The following is a 23,918-nucleotide window of genomic DNA, read 5'->3' as shown; positions in this document are numbered from 1 at the left end:
TTTCATCGCCCAGGTATTAAACCTAGTACCCAATAGTTATCTTTTCTGCTTCTCTTCCTTTTCTCACACTCCACCCTCATGTAGACCCCAGTGTCTGTTTTATTCGTTGTGTTCATGAGTTCTCATCATTTAGCTCCCGCTGATAACTGAGAGTATGCTGTATTTGGTTTTCTGTTCCTGCATTAGTTTGCTAAGGATGATAGAGGGTCCATCCATATTCCAGCAAAAGACATGATATCATTTTTTAATGGCGGCGTAGTATTCCATGGTGTATATGTACCACATTTTCTTTATCCAATCTGTCATTGATGGGCATTTAGATTGATCCTATACTTTTGCTATTGTGAACAGTGCTGCAATGAACATTTGTATGCATGTGTCTTTATGGTAGAATTATTTATATTCATCTGGGTATATACCCAGTAGTCGGATTACTGGGTCGAATGGTAACTCTGCTTTTAGCTCTTTGAGGAATCACTGTTCTTTGCACAATGATTGAACTGATTTGCACACCCACCAACAGTGTATAAGCATTCCCTTTTCTCCATAACCTCACTAGCATCGGTTATTTTTTGGCTTTTTAATGATAGCCATTCTGACTGGTGTGAGATGGTATCTCATTATGGTTTTGATATGCATTTCTCTAATGATCAGTGATGTTGAACTTTTTTGTGTGTGTTTGTTGGCTGCATGCATGTATTCTTTTGAAAAGTGTCTGTTCGTTCCCTTTGCCCAATTTTAATGGGGTTGATTGTTTTTCTTTTGTAAATTTCTTTACATTCGAAATGTTTTTATTATTAAGTTGAGCTGCCTCATTCTTAGTATGGTTTTTCACTTTAAAAAGCATAAGGGTGGACATGGTGGCATATGCTAGTAATCCCAACTACTGGGGAGACTAATACAAGAGGATTGCTTGAGCCCAGGAGTTCAAGGCTGTAATGTGCTATGATCATGACTGTGAACAACCACTGTACTGCAGCCTGGGCAGAGTGACATAGCAAAACCACATCTCTAAAAAAAGAGAAAATGTAATTTAAATCTTTAAATACATATGTATATGTGTGTATATATGTATATATATTGCAGATATCAAAAATGGTTTGTAGTTTCCATTCACAGCACATAGTAAAATGTCTTAAACTCCTCCCTCCTCCCTATGTGTGTTTTTCTAAGTGTGTGTCTTTTTTACCTTAATTTTTCTCTTAGTGTTTCATAGTCTTCCTAGGTCTACCTCTTTCTTCTGTCTTTCATACACACACACACACACACACGCACGCGTACACACATGTACCTTGAAAAATAGCTTTTCTTTTTCTTAAAACTTCCCAAAGCTTTCATAAAATTAGCCCTCAGGCACTCTTACGTATCTCATCCACTCTTCTTCCTCTCTCCCCTTCCTGAAGCCATTTGTAACTTACTTATTACACTAGGAAGGGGAAGCAAATATTCATATTATTTTCTTGTTATATCCTTAGCATTACTAGACCTTTGTGGTTTCTATGGATGAGGGACATAATATTTACTAATTTATTCTAAACTTCAATCACTCATAATATATCCTTTTATTCCTCCTCCTTCTGTGATATTGGGAGTGTATAGTTGTCATTGTGACAAACCCTTTGGTGTCAATATCTAAAGTGGATGGGGAGAAAAGGAGGGCTTTGCCAATCATCGTCTCCAGTGCATTTCCCACTGTCAGCATCATTGTCTAATGCTGTTTGCATCCACACAGCTTAAGGGAACCATTTAAGTGAGTGACTCCCTCCCTTCACTTCAGCCCATCACTTGAGCATTTCTCTCCCTTGAAAAAAGACAAGTGGTGCTTCTAAGACTTGAGTAATTCTGAATATAATTGAGGACTAGATGTTCCTGTTTTATATCCTACAGGGCTGGCATCTCTAATGCTCAAAGTACAACAAAGTGCAGTGGTAGTCACTGACTGTTCAGCCATTCTGGGTCATCAAAATAAAAGGAGACTGTCTTCCCATTCCTATCAATGACCTCATCTCTACTAGATGTATAACTGGAAAAACAATGCATTTGCTTAAACATGCAAAGTGAGCCACACTTGTTTGGTGTTGTGGGGAAATGATGGAGAAGCATCCCTGTTTATTAAGGATCCAATTTTGATAGGTTGAGGCATATTTTTCCTCCCAAGTCTGCACATAGTCATGCATTAAATATTAATAAGCATCTTCTCCCTATCAGGCTTTGAGGGGATATGTTCACCTCTTGGGAGGTGAACATGATAAATAAGATCCTTTCTCTCAGCATTCTCTCTATTCTTTTTTTTTTTTTTTTTTCTTAAGATAGGGACTAGCTCTGTCACCCAGGCTAGAGTGCAGTGGTGCAGACATGACTCACTGCAGCCTTGACCTCATGGACTCAAGCGATCCTCTTGCCTCTGCCTCCTGAGTAGCTGGGACCACACACACACACACCCACAACATCCACCTAACTTTTTAAAAATTTTTTGAAGAGAAGAGGTTTTGCCATGTTGCCTCAGCCTCCTGAAGTGGTGGGATTACAGGTGTGAGCCACTGCATCCGGCCACACTTTCTTTCCATTCTTATGGAAGGGAGTAGTCATCAAAACAGTTAATCAACTGAGAATATATTAGGTTGTTATAGGAACCATGAAAAAATAAAATACAGTGTGTAAAGAAGGCTTGATGGCCAGGAAGCTTTTACAGGGAAGTGACATTTGAACTGAGACCAAATACTTAAAGGAGCCAGTTCTTTGAAGAGCTGATGGGAAAGCATTCCAAGAAGTGGGAATGGCAAGGGGAAAGGATTTAAGATGTAACCTCAGGATGATTAAGGAGGAGCATGGTACAAGAGGATGTCAGAAACATAGCCAGGAAAGAGACCATTTAGAGCTATGCTTAAGTGTTAGGATTTTATTCTTTGCAAAGGAAAAGCCCATTGAAGCTTTAAAGCAAGGACCTAAGAGTTACCATAATTTTTTTAAGGTACCTTAAAAATTTTGCTGAATGAAGAATTCATTGAAGTGAGTCAGGAATGTATGATTTTGGACAACTGACACAATGTGTGAGGCATAGTTTCTTCATATGGAAATTGGAGACAATGATCATATCTACCTTAGCAGATTATATAATGAATTATTTTCCTAGGGCTCCTGTAATAAAGTACCACAAACTGGGTAACTTAAGCAACAGAAATTTATTGCCTCACAATTCTAGAGGTGAGAAGTCCAGATCAAGAAGCTGGTAGGGCTGGGCTGCCTGAGAAGGTGCTAAGGAAGGAACTGTTCCAGTCCTCTTTCTCTGCTTCCAGTAGTTCCTTGGCTTGTGACAGCACAGTGTCAATTCTCATATGGCATCCTCCCCGTGTGCCTTTCTCTATGTCCAAATCTCTCTTTTATTTAAGGACACAGTCACAGTGGATTAGAACACCCCCATAACATGAAGATTGCATGAGATTATATACATAAATAATTCAACAACATAGCTTCCAAATAGAAAACACTCAGCCTATGTCATCTCATCATTATTTGTTTACACCTTTGTATTATTGGTATAGCTCTAGTCTTTTGAAAGGTGCAGTTACTCATCTTTGTGTTTTCCACTCCTTTATAGCTAAGTGTAAAGTGCTTTTGCAAAATCCAGTACTGCATATTTGAGAAATGCTTTTTACTCCTACACATACTGCATATACTGTTATACAATTCGATTTTGTAGGTCTAATGAAGTTGGTCTTTCTATGAGTTCCTATAGCTAAAAATAGTCACAATTGTGTACTCCAGTAAATTGTTGGAATGACAGAAAATAGTTCAAGTGAAATTATCAATCTGGTTTTTCTGACTTCAGCTGTGTGTCATGTTTGGTTAGTCAAGAGAAACATCTAATGTGAGGCCCCTGGAGGACAGCTGATAAGTAAGCATACCAAGTAGAATGGCTACTGGAAAAAGTGTGCCAGCTAGAGAGACAGAAAAGAGAGAGTTAATTTACCATTTGCTCAAGTAAGGAATGATCCACAAATTCAACAAAATCTAAGTAGTCTTAAAGGACATGTCATTGACAGATTTATCTTCTAGTCTCCCACTTTGTCTAACACTGCTTCAAAACAAAGCAATTTACTGAACCCAGTGGTCTCATTATTCTGGAGGTTTATAAGGTTAAAAATACCTGGGGTTTTGGGAGCAGCAATAGCACTGAAGTGGGATATTAGTAGTGATGCATGTGTTTACAGCACCTATGAACACACACAGACTGAAGCTTGAAGGCTGATGACCCTGAGTTAGGAGAAAAGATAAAACTTTTTAGATTTTTTTTAATGTCAAGAAGAAAATTATTTATCTCCACATTTCTTGAATATTATCTTCTTACAACTAGGTCAGTGATTCTCACCCCGGTTATATGTTAAAATCACCTGGAGATATATGAAAACTATCAATGTTCTACCCTCCTACAGATTAAATCATCATCACTGAGGGTGGCCCTCCAGCAACCAGGTTTAAGAACCACTTTAGACCAGAATTTTTCTCTGTGCCATGCAGTAATGACAATGATAGGTGTAGGATATGCAAATTGCAGAAAGACAACTGCAAATGGTTTAGCTTATCCCCAAAGAGCTGAGCTATCTTAAGCCTCATGGCTACTTTAGAGTGACCAAATCCATGTAGATGCCAGAAGTTGTGTCATACACCTATTTCAAGGGACACATAGAATTTACCTATATATACCTACCTCAAGGGTCATATCGGTTTACCATTCCCCTAAACAACAGCTTAATAGTATAAACTGCTGAACTGCTGTCTGCCTAATATTTATTGTGGCTATACTTCTTCTTTTCTTTTTTTTTTCTTTTTTCTTTTTCTTTTTTCTTTTTTTTTTTTTTTTTTTTTGAGACACGGTCCCACTTTGTTGCCCACACTGGAGTGCAGTAGCCGTGATCTCAGCTCACCGCAACCTCTGCCTCCCAGGCTCAAATGATTCTCCTGCCTCAGCCTCCTGGATAGCTGGGATTACAGGTGCACACCACTACCTCCCAGCTAATTTTTGTATTTTTAGTACAGATGGGGTTTCACCATGTTGGCCAGGCTGGTCTTGAACTCCCGACCTTAAATGATCCACCCGCCTCGGCCTCCTAAAGTATTGGGATTACAGGAGTGAGCCACCACGCCCGGCCCAGTTGTGGCTATACTTCTGAATTAATCATAACAGAATAACCGTATTGATGGATAGGTGATGTGCAGGGATGGAATGAATTTCGGAGGAGTATGATCTGCCTCTACAGCATAGAAAATGAGGTTCAGTGAATTCAGTGTAATATGGATTTATTGTTTACTGCTAAATCTTTTACTGAAAAAATACTCGTTTTACCTCTAAATATCATAAACATCATGCCTATAATAAAATAGATTCTCAGAAGTTTTTATATGTTTTTTAAAATGAATTAGCCAATTGATATAAACTATGAACAGACTTTCAATTACTATAATATATGTTTGATTTTATAATCTCATTTTGTTGATACATAAGTACTGAATGTGGTTCCCAAAAGTATTTATTTCTATAATTCTGACATGTCATTGTTTTTCATCATTAAAACATACCTTAGACTCTAAAGATAACAATTCCTCAGAATAATCAAACCAGAGCTACTAAAGTGAGCAATAAGAATGATAAAAAATAAATTCAAATATTCTTTGAATACATATGTATAATCAAAGAGATACACTTTATTTTGATACCCAAAATGGAAATGTATTATAAAATGTCTGTATAAAATGATCAAAACATGAACCTTGAAGTACATTTATTTGATATTGTGATTCTTTACACATGGCAGAAGCTAATTTTAACAATTACATTTACTGGGAAAAGAACTCCAAGACACAACGGTAAAATGACCTACAAACCATAAGATAGAAAATAAGAAAGGCTCTGAATTAGGAAGAGGGTGCCACACCCATAATTAAATGTGAAACAGAAACTAGGACACAGATTTTTTTCTATTGTTTTGTCCTTTATTATTATTATTATTATTATTATTATACTTTAAGTTCTGGGATATATGTGCAGAATATGAAGGTTTGTTACATAGGTATACACGTGCCATGGTGGTTTGCTGCACCCATCAACCAGTCATCTACATTAGGTATTTCTCCTAATACTATTTCTCTCTTATTCCCCCACCCTGCTACAGGCCCTGTGTGTGATGTTCCCCTCCCTGTGTCCACGTGTTCTCATTGTTCAACTCCCACTTATGAGTGAGAACATGCGGGGTTTGGTTTTCTGTTCCCGTGTTTGCTGAGAATGATGGTTTCCAGCTCCATCCATGTCCCTGCAAAGGACATGAACTCATCCTTTCTTATGGCTGCATAGTATTCCATGGTGTATATGTACCACATTTTCTTTATCCAGTCTATCATTGATGGGCATTTGGGTTGGTTCCAAGTCTTTGCTATTGTGAACAGTGCTGCAATAAACATACGTGTGCATGTGTCTTTATAATAGAATGACTTATATTCCTTTGGGTATATACCCAGTAATGGGTTCAAGCAATTTTCCTGCCTCAGCCCCCAGAGTAGCTGGGACTACAGGCACCTGCCACCATGCCCCACTAATATTTTGTATTTTTAGTAGAGACAGGGTTTTGCCATATTGGCCAAGCTGGTCATGAACTTCTGACCTCAAGTGATCCCCCCACCTCGGCTTCCCAATGTGCTTGGATTACAGGCGTGAGCTGCCATGCCTGGCCACACAATTGATTTTATTATGTTTTTTATTTCTATGTTTTATTAAACATTAAAAAATATACATGATATATATCATATGTTATATATTTTACATTTTTCAAATATATATATATTTTATCACTATCCCATGGTTTTTCAAAGAAATTTATCTTATAGCTAGTTAATAGATAAGAATGTAATTTAGCCTAAATATAAAACAAATGTGTTAGAAAAAAAGAATGAAACAAAACTGACGATTTATCATACTACCTAATCTATTATTTTTTATATGGTTTGGCCTCCAATATATCTCTAAGGTTTTAGAGCCACACTAAAAAGAAAAATCTAACTTACAACATGTATTGTATTCATAAGAGAAACAAGAAAAATTATCCAATTATTTTAAAAAAAATTAAGATAAAATTAAAGGTAAAACAGATACATAGATGAACCTAGGTGTAGATATGTTTGTGTTTACATTCTGAATAGGCACCTTTAGCTTCTGCATCACATTTTAAAGTTTTACTGAGTAACTGCATTTTAATTTTAAGTATTAACTAACCATCAATTTTAATGTTTCCAATTTTGTATATATTATGTGATGAACAGTTTATTTATAGCTTTTCTTTCTCTTTGACTTCTTCATAAGGATAAATTCCATGCTTATGGAAAGATTTGATTCTTGAAATGTATCATCAAATTACTATCTATAGAATTGTGACAATTATACTACTATAATTTGTTCATGAGTATAACAGCTTCCCCACAGCCTCACCATCTTAGAGTATTATTTCCTTTTTAAATAAAGTACTCTTGGAAATAGAATTAATCAGTGATATGGTATTACATTAAAAAATGACCAAATACACACCAAATGGACTGTACCAGTTTATGTTCCCGGCTGTAAGTATATGCCGTTGGGCATAGCTACTGAAGCCTTCTTTTGATTTATTTTATAGCAGTTGGTCTAGTCATGTTTTCAACTTACTCTTGTACACATTCTTAAGCTGTTCATAGAAACTAAACTGTCAAAATTATTTTTATAATATTTTTCTTGATATTCTCCCATGATGCTTAAAAGTTTTCTCAGTCTGTGTTCATGTCTCCTTTTCACTGATAATACTTTGCTTATTTTTCCCTTCTTTTTTTAAAAAAATTCTTGTCTATTCAATTAATTCTTTGGAAAAAGCCAATGCCTTTTATTTTGTTAGTCAATTCACTATCTTCATTATAATCTTTCTTTTTCTTTTCTTTTCTTTCTTTTTTTTTTTTTTTTAAGCTTCTTGTGCTACAAGTTAGTTCACATTTTTAGTTTTTTTTGTTTTCACCCAAATACATTTAGGGCTATAAATTTTATTCTGAGCACCACTTTGGAGATTTCCTGAGGTTTGGAAAACAGTGATATCATTTCCATTCAGTTCTAAGTAGTTTGCAGTTCTCTTTTATTTAATATCTAATATATAAGATTTTCAGATACTTAGATTTTTGACTTGTTGTTTTCTAATTTTATTGTATTGTGATCAGTGATTAGTGACTTTTATGATACAATTTAAACGTATTTTTCTTTTATTTTTATTTTTTATTTTTGTAGGGTACCACTATGTTGACCAGGCTGGTCACCAATTTCTAGCCTCATGCAATCCTCCCACCTTGGCCTCCCAAAGCTCTAGGATGACAGGTGTGAGCCACCATGCCAGGCCAACATTTTTTTCTTGTGAATGTCTTTGTGATCTACTAGATGGTCAGGTTTTATAAATATTCCTTCAATGTTTGATTAGAAGGTTTATTCTTTATTTGAGTCAAAGCAATTAAGTTTATTATGTCATTCATAACCTCAATACATTTCTCATTTTTTAGGTATTTGGTCTATTAATTTCTTAGAGTTATATCAAAGTATCAAATATGATTTATAATTTGTTGGCTTTTTCTTGAAATTATATCACTTTTTCTTTATATATTTTAGGCTATTCTACAAGGTACATAAAAACTCCCAATTGTTATATCATTTGACTTTTTTTGTCCATTTGAAAACTTTCTCTTTTTTATTTTAAAAATTCAACAACTATTATATTTTGTCTGATATTACTTTTTCCATTTTTTTGTTCTTTTCAACATGATTGTGCCACTTGATTTTAGGTGGATCTGTTGTAAAGCATAAGCTGGATCTTGTTATCTCTGATATTCTCCATCTTTTAAATTGGTAAGTATATCCCATTTTCATGCGTGGCGTTGTTGAAGAATTTGGACCTATCCTTACCATATTACTTTTTTCTTTTCTACTTTTTTTTTTGTTTGTTCATTGATTTTTTTTTTTTTTTATCTTTCTTGCCTTTTCATTGATCATTGTATTTTGCCCTTCACTGGTGTGGCAGTTATAATTTCTATTATTTTAGGGGCAATTCTTTATTTTTTGTTTCTGATTTTTATTTTTTAAACTTCATATATTGAAATAATTATAGACTTGTGGAAGCTGCAATACAAGAACGGAGATATTTATGTATCTATCATCCAGCTTTCCCTGATGGCAACATTTACATAACTACACCACATTATCAAAAACCCTCAAATTGGTATTGTTATATAGAATTAGATAGGCTACAGATTTCACCAGTTTTGGCATGACTCATTTACATATGTGTATGTGTATAGTTCTATAACATTCATGGCTGGGCGTGGGGGCTCACGCCTGTAATCCCACCACTTTGGGAGACTGAGGTGAGTGGATAACCTGAGGTCAGGAGTTTGAGATTGTGATGGTTAATACTGTCAACTTGATTGGATTTAGGGGATACAAAGTATTAATCCTGGGTGTGTCTGTGTGGGCGTTGCCAAAAGAGACTAACATTTGAGTCAGTGGGCTGGGGAAGGCAAATCCACCCTTAATCTGGTGGGCACAACCTAATCAGCTTCCAGCGAATATAAAGCAGGCAGAAAAACATGAAAGGGAGAGGCTGGGCCTACCAGCCTCCCAGCCTACACCTTTCTGCCATGCTGGATGCTTCCTGCCCTTGAATATCGGACTCCAAATTTTTCAGTTTTGTGCTTTGGACTGGCTCTCCTTGCTCCTCAGCTTGCAGACAGCCTATTGTAGGACCTTGTAATCATACAACTTAATACTTAATAAACTCCCCTTTATAGATATATATTAAGTTAATACTTAATAAACTTCATACATATGGGAGTTTATTAAGTATTAACTATATATGTATACACATATATATACACACTATGTGTGTGTAAACTATCATATATAATTAAGTATTAACCTTATATATTGATACATATATATAGGAGTTTATTAAGTATTAACTTTATAAGTTTGTTAAGTATTAACTTTATATAAAGGGGAGTTTATATATATAATATCCTCTATATATAGGATATATATATATGTATACTATTAGTTCTGTCCCTTTAAGAGAAACCTGACGAATACAGAGACCAACCTGGCCAGCATAGAGAAATCCCATCTCTACTAAAAATACAAAAATTAGCCAGGCATGGTGGCACACACCTGTAACCCCAGCTACTCAGAGCCGAGATCACGCCACTGCACTCTAGCCTGGGCAACAGAATGAGACTCTCTCAAAAAAAATTCATAACAAATATAGACTTGTATGATCAACACTGCAGTCAAGATAGAGAACTGCTCTGTCCACAAAGGAACTCATTCATATTATCTCTTTTCAGTAGCACCACCTTCCATACCTTCCAAGACAACTATTAATCTGATTTCTATCTCTATAGTAATGTTACTACAAAAATGTTATATAGATAGAATCATGCACTATGCAAACTTTTGAGATTGCTTTTTTTCCCCTTGGCATCTAAATTGTGTGTGTTCTGTAATTTGTTTCATTTTAATGCTGAGTAGTATTTCATTATATGGATGTGTCAGATTTTCTTTATCCATTTATTTCTTGAAAGACATTTGGGTTGTTTCCAGTTTCAGGCTATTACAAATAAAGCAGTTATAAACATTTGTGTATATATTTTCATGTGAATGTAAGTTTTCATTTCTCTAGAATCAATGTCCACGTATATGCTTAACATTTTAACACAAAATTAAATAAACAAATATAGGAAAATATAGATATATACACAAAGCTTAGCTTCAATCAATATTTTTCCCCCAAACAAACCAATAAACTGAGTATACTAAACAGACTGTATTTTTGCTGTAATCCACTGCTACCATCCTACTGTCTGTTATTTTAGTTCTGACTTGTTATTAAAAGCATTTTAAAATCATTACTTATTTAAGTGTTACAATAAATTTTATTAATTCATTGAGCTTACTTTATTTTACAGCTTATTTCCTTCTGAAGGTTTTCTACTCAGTGGAATATAGTTTTACTTCAAAAAGGTTGAGTAGTCCACTTTCTAAGTCCTCAAATGTCTGAAAATGCCTTTATTGAGCTCATCTCTTTTGAGTGGAAGTTGAACTATTTCAAGATTTCTCAATTTAAATTCTTCTCCCACAGTATTTACAAGACATTTTTACAATCATTTTTGAATTTCATTTTGCAAATCACAAGATTGAAGTATTGTATTTCCTTTATTTTGGGGTAATCTATCATTTCTATTTGAATGTTTTTGGATGTTTCTTCATGTCTATTATTTTTAAGTTTTATTTTTAATTTATTGTTATACCACTGTTGTTTTATTTTAATCCTTTTCATGATACACTGGACTTTTTCAGCTGGAGAATTTGGCTGTCCTCTCTTCACCCACTCCTGGCTTCGGAAAATTCTCAGGCTTATTTCTTCAAATATAGATTAATTTACATTATCACTGACATTATCTCTTTTGTCCACTCTAGGACTGCTAAGAAATAGATCTTAGAACTTCCGAATCTATATTCCTCATCACTGTCCACTGCCACTTTTTGAGTTTATCTGATAATAATTACATTTTTATTTATAATCATGTTTATTATTGTTAGATTTTTATATTACCATTTACACTTATTTCAGATTGATAATATTTTCCTCTTATCTCTGAGGATATTAACTTGTTAAAGTAAATAATTGATTGATTGATTCATCTTACCATGTCTAAGGGTTTTACTATGTAAAATTCATTGATTCTTTTTGATGGTATTAGTCTTTCTCAGCTTTTGGCTTCCCAAATGGCTTTGTTCTGAGGCTGAACTCCATGAGCTGTGGCTGCTTTTTGTTGCTGATGAGGGTGCTGAGCATGACGCACAGCTGTGGGGAGGGAGGAGCCTTTAGAAAGAGGCTATATTGGGAAGCAGCTTCCAGGGCTTCCTGCCTTGGTTGAAGCTTTCTGTGTGTCTTCTCTCATTCCTTGGGATTAGCTCAAGTGATTTCTTTCTTTCTGCTTTTTGCTTTGTTTTGTTTTGTTTTGTTTTGTTTTTTTGATGGTGGAGAGAGACATATAGTTACACATTTTTAAAAATATCTGTTCTACCTATTCTACAGATTTGATGCAGGAGGGGAAGATTTGAGCATATGCCTCATTTTTTAAATAAGCCAAATATTTAGATATATTCACAGTAACACTGGCTTAAGCCATACTTGGTGATATACTAAACTCTCCTTTTAATTGTATGGCTTAAGTAATAGAGGCTAATCATCTCTTTTTAGGATTTTTTAAATACTCATATGTAGGCAGATTTTTAAAAATTCTAATGCATTTTAGTTTAGTAATATTATTTCTGAAAGTAATTTCAGAGATTTTCTCCCTTAGCCTTTATTTTGTGATGATTTATCTAAGATGAAAATTATTAATTTCTTAAATAATCAAATAAAAATAATTTTTAAAATCTATTGGTGCTATGTGCTTTTCGTATACAATTACTTAATTATTTTTTGCACTTTTCACTTAATCTTTCTTAAATTTGAATTGTCAGTTATCCTTTTTGTTTCTAGTTTTATTTCCACCCATTGAGATTTTAATTTATTAGCATGCAGCTATGATGTGATGTCTTCTCTGTGTTGGGAATTCTGCTGGAAGGGTTAATAAGGCAATGAAGAAATAGTTCCCCTTAAGCCAGGCCTTGAATTTTCAAAATCACTGTGAATTATAAAGGAGGCAGCAATAAAAAGTTTTATCAATACACGAAGTAATTTGCCTTTATCATCATCCTAGTACCTAGAGTGCAAAACCGCATTCGTTTACATACTTTGTAAAAACAAAATTTTAAAGTATTAAAGGGATCATTGTTTCCATGTGAATTTCTGTTTGGCCTGAGGCTAAAATTTGGCATCTGTGGGGCTGTGCAGGATTTGACTAGAAGCGCCAAAGAAGAAAGGCTGCCATGGCAAACATTATATTTCATTACACGCAAGCATTGTCAAATGTTCTCAACCTCATGGCTTACACTGTATCTTTTTCTTACTTACCGTCTCGTGAAATAAAAGTAAAACAATGTGACTTTGAATCTGCTCAGCATAATTATATGTTCTGTGTATAAAATGGTATTATGCCTTTGAACGTTAGAAAAAGTGACTTTTAATGCCATGTTAAGGAAAGAGCAAATTCAAAGAGGTTTTGTTAGGGAAATATATTTCAGAAATGAATAACTCAGAGGAGAGAAGAACATAAAGTTTATACTAAATATTTAATTTTACATAATGGCTAGCACATTGGTGATGATCATGTATGTTAAATCATTATGCTAATAATAATTGTTCATAGAAATATGTTTCTTGATCATTGTTGTGGATCTATTAAATGTCAGGAAGAAAGGACATTACTCAAGTATTTTCAATACTGCCTGACCCAAATGAAAACAAAACCAACATCAAAAACCAAAAAGAGGTAGGGAGTAATTTAGTCCAATTTGAAAGTAGTAACAAGAGCATATATTCAGATATTTCTCGTTGATAGATTTGAAGGGTTTGATGGAGTCTTCCTCTTCTTGATTTCCATTTTCCATTATATTTTTCTCCTTTTCTTGTTCTAGGCAATGTTGTTAAAATATCTTATCATCTTATTTTTATAGCTTCTAGTAATTTAAGAAAATTTAAATTGCTTTAGTTGTAACAGATCCAAGCTCAAATTTATCATGTTTTATGAGATTTATGATCAATTATCAATAATTTATTTAATCAACCTGGGATGAGAAATAATTTCCCAAAATATAATTAAAATGCCACATCATTTATTATATAAGTGATGTTAACTTTATTAATTAAGAAATCTTGAAGTGGAAAATTAAAAGAGTTTTAATTTTCCCCTAGTTATATCACCCAGTTTACACAATAAGATCAAAATAGTACTGAAAGTATTTGGCCTATACCATGCAATTTCAAGGTTTATATTTCACAGTGTCCACATTCAGAGCATCTTCTATATTGGCTTTCTGGGGGAACATTCTAAAATCTGGTAACAAATGAAAATCCTTGAGATGTAACAGTTAATTTGAATATCTACACTGAAAAATTGTTGCCTTCTATTTTCTTTGACCATCTCTCCTGCCTCTTTGTTTTAATGCTATATTCTCTCCATTGACATTCTAAAACATAATGACTTTAACCATGCACATAACTCACCCCAAATCTATCTTGGATCTGCTCTGTTTATGGAGCTCCAATCAGTGCTACATGTCATCACCTAAGTTTTCCACCTCTTCCTCTAATTTAGCATGACACAAACTGAACTGATTGTCTTCTCTAGACCTGCTACTATCTGTGCTCCTGGGCAGATAACTTCAACTACCTCGGTTTCACCATCTATCATGAGGTTAAATAGGATAAAACCAGTAATATGCATAGAAATGTATATGGAGTTGCTCAGTAATTGTTTGCTCTTCCAACTCTTCTGTCCCTGAATACCTCTCTCAAAGTTTTCTATTGTATTTTCCATTTCTGTCAATGGAAGCGCTATCTAATCATCAAATAATCATTTTTCAGTTTGTTCTTTTCCTTGCTTCCCTCATCAAATGCATGAACTCTCATAAGACTTTTTTTTTTTTTTAATCCTAACCGTCTGTATTCTAGGTCAGAATCTAACTGCATGGGTCATTTTTTTTTAACTGGTTTTTACTGTTCTCCCCGACCCCTAGCACTTTCTTCCTTAATTCATTCTTATAGATTGGTAGAAAAAACTTCTTGAAATATAGTCCTGTTGTGTTCTTCCTCTACTAATAAATTTTCAAGGGATTCCCTGATATCTACAAAATAAAATTCAATTTACAATGTTTTAGATTTAGGACAGTTAGTAATGGGGTATCTAGGCATCTCTCTTTTTCTTTCTTGCCTACTCTTTGGAAACCTCCCCTGCTGCCTACATTAAGCTGCTTTGATTTCACATATACATCACATATTTTCATTTCTCAGTCTTTATTTATGCTCCTCTCTGCCTCAGGGCCTCAGAATGTCTTCTTCATTCCCATACATCAAAAATCAAACCTATATTTTGAAGGTACAGCTCAGAGCCTTCCTTTCTTCTAGTGACTTCAAGTCACTTCAAGTGATGCAATCATCTCTTCACCCAACTTCACGCTTCACTTGTATGTTTCACTACCTTCTGCCTTAATTACATGTCTTCTTCCTCTGTTAATCTTTAAGAGCCTTGATGGCAGAATCTGTATCTTCTTCATGTTGGTATCTACCCCGGGATTGTAAATAAATATTTTCATTTAGAACTTTATAACTATTTGTTGAATAAATAAATAGATATGAATGAAATGCCAGCAACACTTGGGGAAAAGTTTTGGTAAACAGAAATTGTAGCAACACTTGGTAAATATAAAGCATCTCTTTAGAGGTTCATGTTTGGTTTATTTACATATTCCAATGAATTATGAATTTTTAAATTTCATAATTTATGAATTATGTGAATGAATTATGAAATTTAAAATTTCCTAGCCCTTATATGAAACAGTATAGTGTTTTTTTGATCTTTTCTGTCTTGAATCCTTCTGATTATAGGAAGAAATACATGTAAAGAACTGAGAAATAATTAAGGATGAGATGTTGCCAGTAATATATATATTTTTTTAACAATTGTTTTCCTAATTTTACATGGTCAGTGCTAAACATTGAACAACTTATCCCTAGAACACAATGGAGAATATATTACTGAACTTCTTTAAAACATTATTCATTTATTCTCATCCTGTTAACATTCCTGTGAACATACAAAAGAATTCTTGTGGATATGAAAATTTAGGTTGCGTTTCAGAAGCTGCTTGAGAATATGTCAAAACCTTTGATAACATGGAGGAAAACTCCATGTTTTGTGAGAGATACAAAAGTAAATTTCTAAGAGAATCATAATACTAATAATCCTTTTTTCTCCAAGAATCACTGTCACCATCACCATTATAATAATCTTGTAGCCCTTACTAGGCAGATATCTAAAAGGCTTTAACAATGGGACATTTACTCTCACAATGCACCTTGGGATTGGTGCATATATTTTGATTTTTTAATTAAATTCAACTGCTAAAAGACTTACCCAAAGTCACAAATTAATAACAGAGTTACAGAAAGAACTCATGAAACCACATAACCAGCTCGAGAATATTGGTCACTAAATAACTTTATTGTTGTGTCAGTGTTTAATTAAAAAGTTGTATGTTGCAATTTGATACATGGAGGAGTACTTCAGGTATAATATAGGTCCTAATTTTCTCTAGGTCCTGACTTGTGTGTGGTTGTAAGAAAATAACTTCAATTTTATAATCTTTAAGAATGTGATATTATTCCCCAATGGCTTCCCATGTTTACTAAGTGTGGAGTATTATGAGACAGTGTGGTAGATTGTATTTTCCAATGTGGCTGTAAAAACATCTCACATTCCCAAGCTCTTAAGCAATGCAACTTGACCAATTCCTTGTCAAAAAGGGAAGCCTAATTCTGCTCCCTTGAAATTTGGACTGGCAGATGATAGATACAAATACCTCCTTTCCCATACTAGATGGAATGTTCTAGGGTGAAATTTATCTGGCTATGCAGAAGACAGTTGGATAAGATCTCAGTTACCTTTAGCCATGACCATTTTGAAAAAACAGCGACATAATATCTCTGCTGCCCTATTTCATTCCCCTTGTCCTTCATTCCCATTGCCTGGGATTACATTTTTTTTTTTTTTACTTTCTTTTTTTCTTTTAACTTTTTTTTTTTTATTATTATACTTTAAGTTTTAGGGTACATGTGCACATTGTGCATGTTAGTTACATATGTATACATGTGCCATGCTGGTGCACTGCACCCACTAACTCGTCATCTAGCATTAGGTATATCTCCCAATGCTATCCCTCCCCTCTCCCCGCACCCCACAACAGTCACCAGAGTGTGATATTCCCCTTCCTGTGTCCATGTGATCTCATTGTTCAATTCCCACCTATGAGTGAGAATATGCGGTGTTTGGTTTTTTGTTCTTGTGATAGTTTACTGAGAATGATGATTTCCAATTTCATCCATGTCCCTACAAAGGAAATGAACTCATCATTTTTTATGGCTGCATAGTATTCCATGGTGTATATGTGCCACATTTTCTTAATCCAGTCTATCATTGTTGGACATTTGGGTTGGTTCCAAGTCTTTGCTATTGTGAATAACGCCACAATAAACATACGTGTGCATGTGTCTTTATAGCAGCATGATTTATAGTCCTTTGGGTATATACCCAGTAATGGGATGGCTGGGTCAAATGGTATTTCCAGTTCTAGATCCCTGAGGAATCGCCACACTGACTTCCACAATGGTTGAACTAGTTTACAGTCCCACCAACAGTGTAAAAGTGTTCCTATTTCTCCACATCCTCTCCAGCACCTGTTGTTTCCTGACTTTTTAATGATTGCCATTCTAACTGGTGTGAGATGGTATCTCATTGTGGTTTTGATTTGCATTTCTCTGATGGCCAGGATGATGAGCATTTTTTCATGTGTTTTTTGGCTGCATAAATGTCTTCTTTTGAGAAGTGTCTGTTCATGTCCTTTGCCCACTTTTTGATGGGGTTGTTTGTTTTTTTCTTGTAAATTTGTTAGAGTTCATTGTAGATTCTGGATATTAGCCCTTTGTCAGATGAGTAGGTTGTGAAAATTTTCTCCCATTTTGTAGGTTGCCTGTTCACTCTGATGGTAGTTTATTTTGCTGTGCAGAAGCTCTTTAATTTAATTAGATCCCATTTGTCAATTTTGTCTTTTGTTGCCATTGCCATTGCTTTTGGTGTTTTAGACATGAAGTCCTTGCCCATGCCTATGTCCTGAATGGTAATGCCTAGGTTTTCTTCTAGGGTTTTTATGGTTTTAGGTCTAACGTTTAAGTCTTTAATCCATCTTGAACTGATTTTTGTATAAGGTATAAGGAAGGGATCCAGTTTCAGCTTTCTACATATGGCTAGCCAGTTTTCCCAGCACCATTTATTAAATAGGGAATCCTTTCCCCATTGCTTGTTTTTGTCAGGTTTGTCAAAGATCAGATAGTTGTAGATATGCGGCGTTATTTCTGAGGGCTCTGTTCTGTTCCATTGATCTATATCTCTGTTTTGGTACCAGTACCATGTTGTTTTGGTTACTGTAGCCTTGTAGTATAGTTTGAAGTCAGGTAGTGTGATGCCTCCAGCTTTGTTCTTTTGGCTTAGGATTGACTTGGCGATGCGAGCTCTTTTTTGGTTCCATATGAACTTTAAAGTAGTTTTTTCCAATTCTGTGAAGAAAGTCATTGGTAGCTTGATGGGGATGGCATTGAATCTGTAAATTACCTTGGCCAGTATGGCCATTTTCACGATATTGATTCTTCCTACCCATGAGCATGGAATGTTCTTCCATTTGTTTGTATCCTCTTTTATTTCCTTGAGCAGTGGTTTGTAGTTCTCCTTGAAGAGGTCCTTCACATCCCTTGTAAGTTGGATTCCTAGGTATTTTATTCTCTTTGAAGCAATTGTGAATGGGAGTTCACTCATGATTTGGCTCTCTGTTTGTCTGTTGTTGGTGTATAAGAATGCTTGTGATTTTTGTACATTGATTTTGTATCCTGAGACTTTGCTGAAGTTGCTTATCAGCTTAAGGAGATTTTGGGCTGAGACGATGGGGTTTTCTAGATATATAATCATGTCATCTGCAAAGAGGGACAATTTGACTTCCTCTTTTCCTAATTGAATACCCTTTATTTCCTTCTCCTGCCTGATTGCCCTGGCCAGAACTTCCAACACTATGTTGAATAAGAGTGCTAAGAGAGGGCATCCCTGTCTTGTGCCAGTTTTCAAAGGGAATGCTTCCAGTTTTTGTCCATTCAGTATGATATTGGCTGTGGGTTTGTCATAGATAGCTCTTATTATTTTGAGATATGTCCCATCAATACCTAATTTATTGAGAGTTTTTAGCATGAAGCATCGTTGAATTTTGTCAGAGGCCTTTTCTGCATCTATTGAGATAATCATGTGGTTTTTGTCTTTGGTTCTGTTTATATGCTGGATTACGTTTATTGGTTTGAACCAGCCTTGCATCCCAGGGATGAAGCCCACTTGATCATGGTGGATAAGCTTTTTGATGTGCTGCTGGATTCATTTTGCCAGTATTTTATTGGGGATTTTTGCATCAATGTTCATCAAGGATATTGGTCTAAAATTCTCTTTTTTTGTTGTGTCTCTGCCTGGCTTTGGTATCAGAATGATGCTGGCCTCATAAAATGAGTTAGGGAGGGTTCCCTCTTTTTCTATTGATTGGAATAGTTTCAGAAGGAATGGTACCAGTTCCTCCTTGTACCTCTGGTAGAATTCGGCTGTGTATCCATCTGGTCCTGGACTCTTTTTGGCTGGTAAGCTATTGATTATTGCCACAATTTCAGCTCCTGTTATTGGTCTATTCAGAGATTCAACTTCTTCCTGGTTTAGTCTTGGGAGAGTGTATGTGTCAAGGAATTTATCCATTTCTTCTAGATTTTCTAGTTTATTTGCGTAGAGGTGTTTGTAGTATTCTCTGATGGTACTTTGTATTTCTGTGGGATTGGTGGTGATATCCCCTTTATCATTTTTTATTGCATCTATTTGATTCTTCTCTCTTTTTTTCTTTATTTGTCTTGCTAGCAGTCTATCAATTTTGTTGATCCTTTCAAAAAACCAGCTCCTGGATTCATTAATTTTTTGAAGGGTTTTTTGTGTCTCTATTTCCTTCAGTTCTGCTCTGATTTTAGTTATTTCTTGCCTTCTGCTAGCTTTTGAATGTGTTTGCTCTTGCTTTTCTAGTTCTTTCAATTGTGATGTTAGGGTGTCAATTTTGGATCTTTCCTGCTTTCTCTTGTGGGCATTTAGTGCTATAAATTTCCCTCTACACACTGCTTTGAATGCGTCCCAGAGATTCTGGTATGTTGTGTCTTTGTTCTCGTTGGTTTCAGAGAACATCTTTATTTCTGCCTTCATTTCGTTATGTACCCAGTAGTCATTCAGGAGCAGGTTGTTCAGTTTCCATGTAGTTGCGCAGTTTTGAGTGAGATTCTTAATCCTGAGTTCTAGTTTGATTGCACTGTGGTCTGAGAGATAGTTTGTTATAATTTCTGTTCTTTTACATTTGCTGAGGAGAGCTTTACTTCCCAGTATATGGTCAATTTTGGAATAGGTGTGGTGTGGTGCTGAAAAAAATGTATATTCTGTTGATTTGGGGTGGAGAGTTCTGTAGATGTCTATCAGGTCCGCTTGGTGCAGAGCTGAGTTCAATTCCTGGATATCCTTGTTAACTTTCTGTCTCGTTGATCTGTCTAATGTTGACAGTGGGGTGTTAAAGTCTCCCATTATTAATGTGTGGGAGTCTAAGTCTCTTTGTAGGTCACTCAGACTTGCTTTATGAATCTGGGTGCTCCTGTATTGGGTGCATATATATTTAGGATAGTTAGCTCTTCTTGTTGAATTGATCCCTTTACCATTATGTAATGGCCTTCTTTGTCTCTTTTGATCTTTGTTGGTTTAAAGTCTGTTTTATCAGAGACTAGGATTGCAACCCCTGCCTTTTTTTGTTTTCCATTGGCTTGGTGGATCTTCCTCCATCCTTTTATTTTGAGGCTATGTATGTCTCTGCCCGTGAGATGGGTTTCCTGAATACAGCACACTGATGGGTCTTGACTCTTTATCCAATTTGCCAGTCTGTGTCTTTTAATTGGAGCATTTAGTCCATTGACATTTAAAGTTAATATTGGTATGTGTGAATTTGATCCTGTCATGATGATGTTAGCTGGTTATTTTGCTCGTTAGTTGATGCAGTTTCTTCCTAGTCTCGATGGTCTTTACATTTTGGCATGATTTTGCAGCGGCTGGTACTGGTTGTTCCTTTCCATGTTTAGTGCTTCCTTCCTGGTGGTGACAAAATCTCTCAGCATTTGCTTGTCTGTAAAGGATTTTATTTCTCCTTCACTTATGAAGCTTAGTTTGGCTGGATATGAAATTCTGGGTTGAAAATTCTTTTCTTTAAGAATGTTGAATATTGGCCCCCACTCTCTTCTGGCTTGTAGGGTTTCTGCCGAGAGATCCGCTGTTAGTCTGATGGGCTTCCCTTTGAGGGTAACCCGACCTTTCTCTCTGGCTGCCCTTAGCATTTTTTCCTTCATTTCAACTTTGGTGAATCTGACAATTATGTGTCTTGGAGTTGCTCTTCTCGAGGAGTATCTTTGTGGCGTTCTCTGTATTTCCTGAATCTGAACGTTGGCCTGCCTTGCTAGATTGGGGAAGTTCTCCTGGATAATATCCTGCAGAGTGTTTTCCAACTTGGTTCCATTCTCCCCATCACTTTCAGGTACATCAATCAGACGTAGATTTGGTCTTTTCACATAGTCCCATATTTCTTGGAGGCTTTGCTCATTTCTTTTTATTCTTTTTTCTCTAAACTTCCCTTCTCGCTTCATTTCATTCATTTCATCTTCCATTGCTGATACCCTTTCTTCCAGTTGATCGCATCGGCTCCTGAGGCTTCTGCATTCTTCACGTAGTTCTCGAGCCTTGGTTTTCAGCTCTATCAACTCCTTTAAGCACTTGTCTGTATTGGTTATTCTAGTTATACATTCTTCTAAATTTTTTTCAAAGTTTTCAACTTATTTGCCTTTGGTTTGAATGTCCTCCCGTAGCTCAGAGTAATTTGATCATCTGAAACCTTCTTCTCACAGCTCATCAAAGTCATTCTCCATCCAGCTTTGTTCCATTGCTGGTGAGGAACTGCATTCCTTTGGAGGAGGAGAGGCGCTCTGCTTTTTAGAGTTTCCAGTTTTTCTGTTCTGTTTTTTCCCCATCTTTGTGGTTTTATCTACTTTTGGTCTTTGATGATGGTGATGTACAGATGGGTTTTTGGTGTGGATGTCCTTTCTGTTTGTTAGTTTTCCTTCTAACAGACAGGACCCTCAGCTGCAGGTCTGTTGGAATACCCTGCCGTGTGAGGTGTCAGTGTGCCCCTGCTGGGGGTTGCCTCCCAGTTAGGCTGCTCGGGGGTCAGGGGTCAGGGACCCACTTGAGGAGGCAGTCTGCCCGTTCTCAGATCTCCAGCTGCGTGCTGGGAGAACCACTGCTCTCTTCAAAGCTGTCAGACAGGGACATTTAAGTCTGCGGAGGTTACTGCTGTCTTTTTGTTTGTCTGTGCCCTGCCCCCAGAGGTGGAGCCTACAGAGGCAGGCAGGCCTCCTTGAGCTGTGGTGGGCTCCACCCAGTTCGAGCTTCCAGGCTGCTTTGTTTACCTAATCAAGGCTGGGCAATGGCGGGCGCCCCTCCCCCTGCCTCGCTGCCGCCTTGCAGTTTGATCTCAGACTGCCGTGCTAGCAATCAGTGAGTCTCCGTGGGCATAGGACCCTCCGAGCCAGGTGTGGGATATAATCTCGTGGTGCACCGTTTTTTAAGCCCGTTGGAAAAGCGCAGTATTCGGGTGGGAGTGACCTGATTTTCCAGGTGCCATCCGTCACCCCTTTCTTTGGCTCAGAAAGGGAACTCCCTGACCTCTTGTGCTTCCCAAGTGAGGCAATGCCTCGCCCTGCTTCGGCTCGCGCACTGTGCGCGCACCCACTGACCTGTGCCCACTGTCTGGCACTCCCTAGGGAGATGAACCCGGTACCTCAGATGGAAATGCAGAAATCACCCGTCTTCTGCGTAGCTCACGCTGGGAGCTGTAGACCGGAGCTGTTCCTATTGGGCCATCTTGGCTCCTCCCCCATTTCTTTATATAATAGTATATGTCTCTGTTCTGCTTTCTGGGAAGTCCATTTTAATATACACAGAAAAGAGAAATTTCTTGATTTTAGGCCTCTTGACAAAACCACAAACACTTATCATTGTATACTGGGAAGGGAAGGCAAACTATTGTCAAAAAAGATGAAAATATTAATCAATCTAGGGTGTGAACTCAGGACAATTATGTGTGCTGAGTGATCGCTGGGCCAAAGGAGCACAACAGCAATGATGTTGCAGCAAAGAAAGAGCTTAATTATCGCAGGGCAGCTGAGTGGAAGGACTGGAGGTATTTCTCAAATCCCCTTCCTCAAGAGTTCTGAGGCTAGGGTTTTTGAAAATAATCTAAGGTCCTAGGGAATAGATACTGCTGATTGGTTGGGGATGAAATTATGGGACTGTCCAAATGGTCTTCGAAGGCTGAGTCAGTTTCTGGGTGAGGGGGTCACAGGGCGAGTTGAGTCAGTTCCTTGGTACGATTCATGGGTCTCAGTGATGTCAGATGGTTGCCTTAATGCAAAAGTCTAAAAAAAATCTCTGAAAGACCAATCTTAGGTTTTACGATAGTGGTCTTACCTATAGGAGTAATTGGGAAAAAGTCCCCAGTCGTGTGACCTCTGGCTACATGACTCCTGAGCAGTAAGCAAGCTAGGGAAGAACGGCTGGTTATTGCCTAAAAATGCATAGGCCTTAGCAGAATCCAGCCCTCTCTCATAATTCTAACCCTGTGGCTTTTTATTAGTTTTACAATGGTGGTTTCAGTCCCCAAACAAGGAATGGAGGTAGTTTCCCCCAACAAAGAATGTCATGATAGCTACTATCATCCTTGCTTTAAGTTTAAACTGTAAACTAAATTTTTCCCATAGTCAGTTTGTCCCATGCCCAGGAATGAGCCAGGGCAGTTAGCTTGTGAGGTTAGAAGCAAGATGGAGTCAGTTATGTCTGAATTCTCTCACTGTTACAATTTTTGCAAAGGCAGTTTCAGTTGGTGGGACCTAAGATAAGAATGCCTGAGGACTTATTTTCAAAGGACTTAAGGGACAAGCAGAGGAAGAAGAGACAGCTTTTTTGGTAAAGGAGTAGTTAGAATGGTGGGAGACAGCCAG

The 23,918-nt window shown here is 36.5% G+C and overlaps 1 protein-coding gene across 5 annotated transcripts in view, besides 2 other annotated features; it reads left to right on the top strand.

Moving 5' to 3' along the window:
• Positions 1–23,918, top strand: part of MARCHF1 (membrane associated ring-CH-type finger 1) — an 859,722-nt gene that overhangs the window by 119,609 nt on the left and 716,195 nt on the right. The window lies entirely within an intron of this gene.
• Positions 22,088–22,598: an enhancer, noted in NCBI's record as "H3K27ac-H3K4me1 hESC enhancer chr4:165162965-165163475 (GRCh37/hg19 assembly coordinates)". NCBI's record gives its function as "activates a minimal SCP1, AML or CMV promoter by ChIP-STARR-seq in naive H9 embryonic stem cells {active_cell/tissue: H9 hESC(naive)}" and the evidence as "EXISTENCE:reporter gene assay evidence [ECO:0000049][PMID:30033119]".
• Positions 22,599–23,109: an enhancer, noted in NCBI's record as "H3K27ac-H3K4me1 hESC enhancer chr4:165162454-165162964 (GRCh37/hg19 assembly coordinates)". NCBI's record gives its function as "activates a minimal SCP1, AML or CMV promoter by ChIP-STARR-seq in naive H9 embryonic stem cells {active_cell/tissue: H9 hESC(naive)}" and the evidence as "EXISTENCE:reporter gene assay evidence [ECO:0000049][PMID:30033119]".

The sequence above is a fragment of the Homo sapiens genome, chromosome 4, assembly GCF_000001405.40.
Source record: "Homo sapiens chromosome 4, GRCh38.p14 Primary Assembly".
Taxonomy (NCBI): domain Eukaryota; kingdom Metazoa; phylum Chordata; class Mammalia; order Primates; family Hominidae; genus Homo; species Homo sapiens.
Note: the sequence above shows the minus strand (reverse complement) of the source record. Positions and strands in the feature narration are given on the sequence as shown.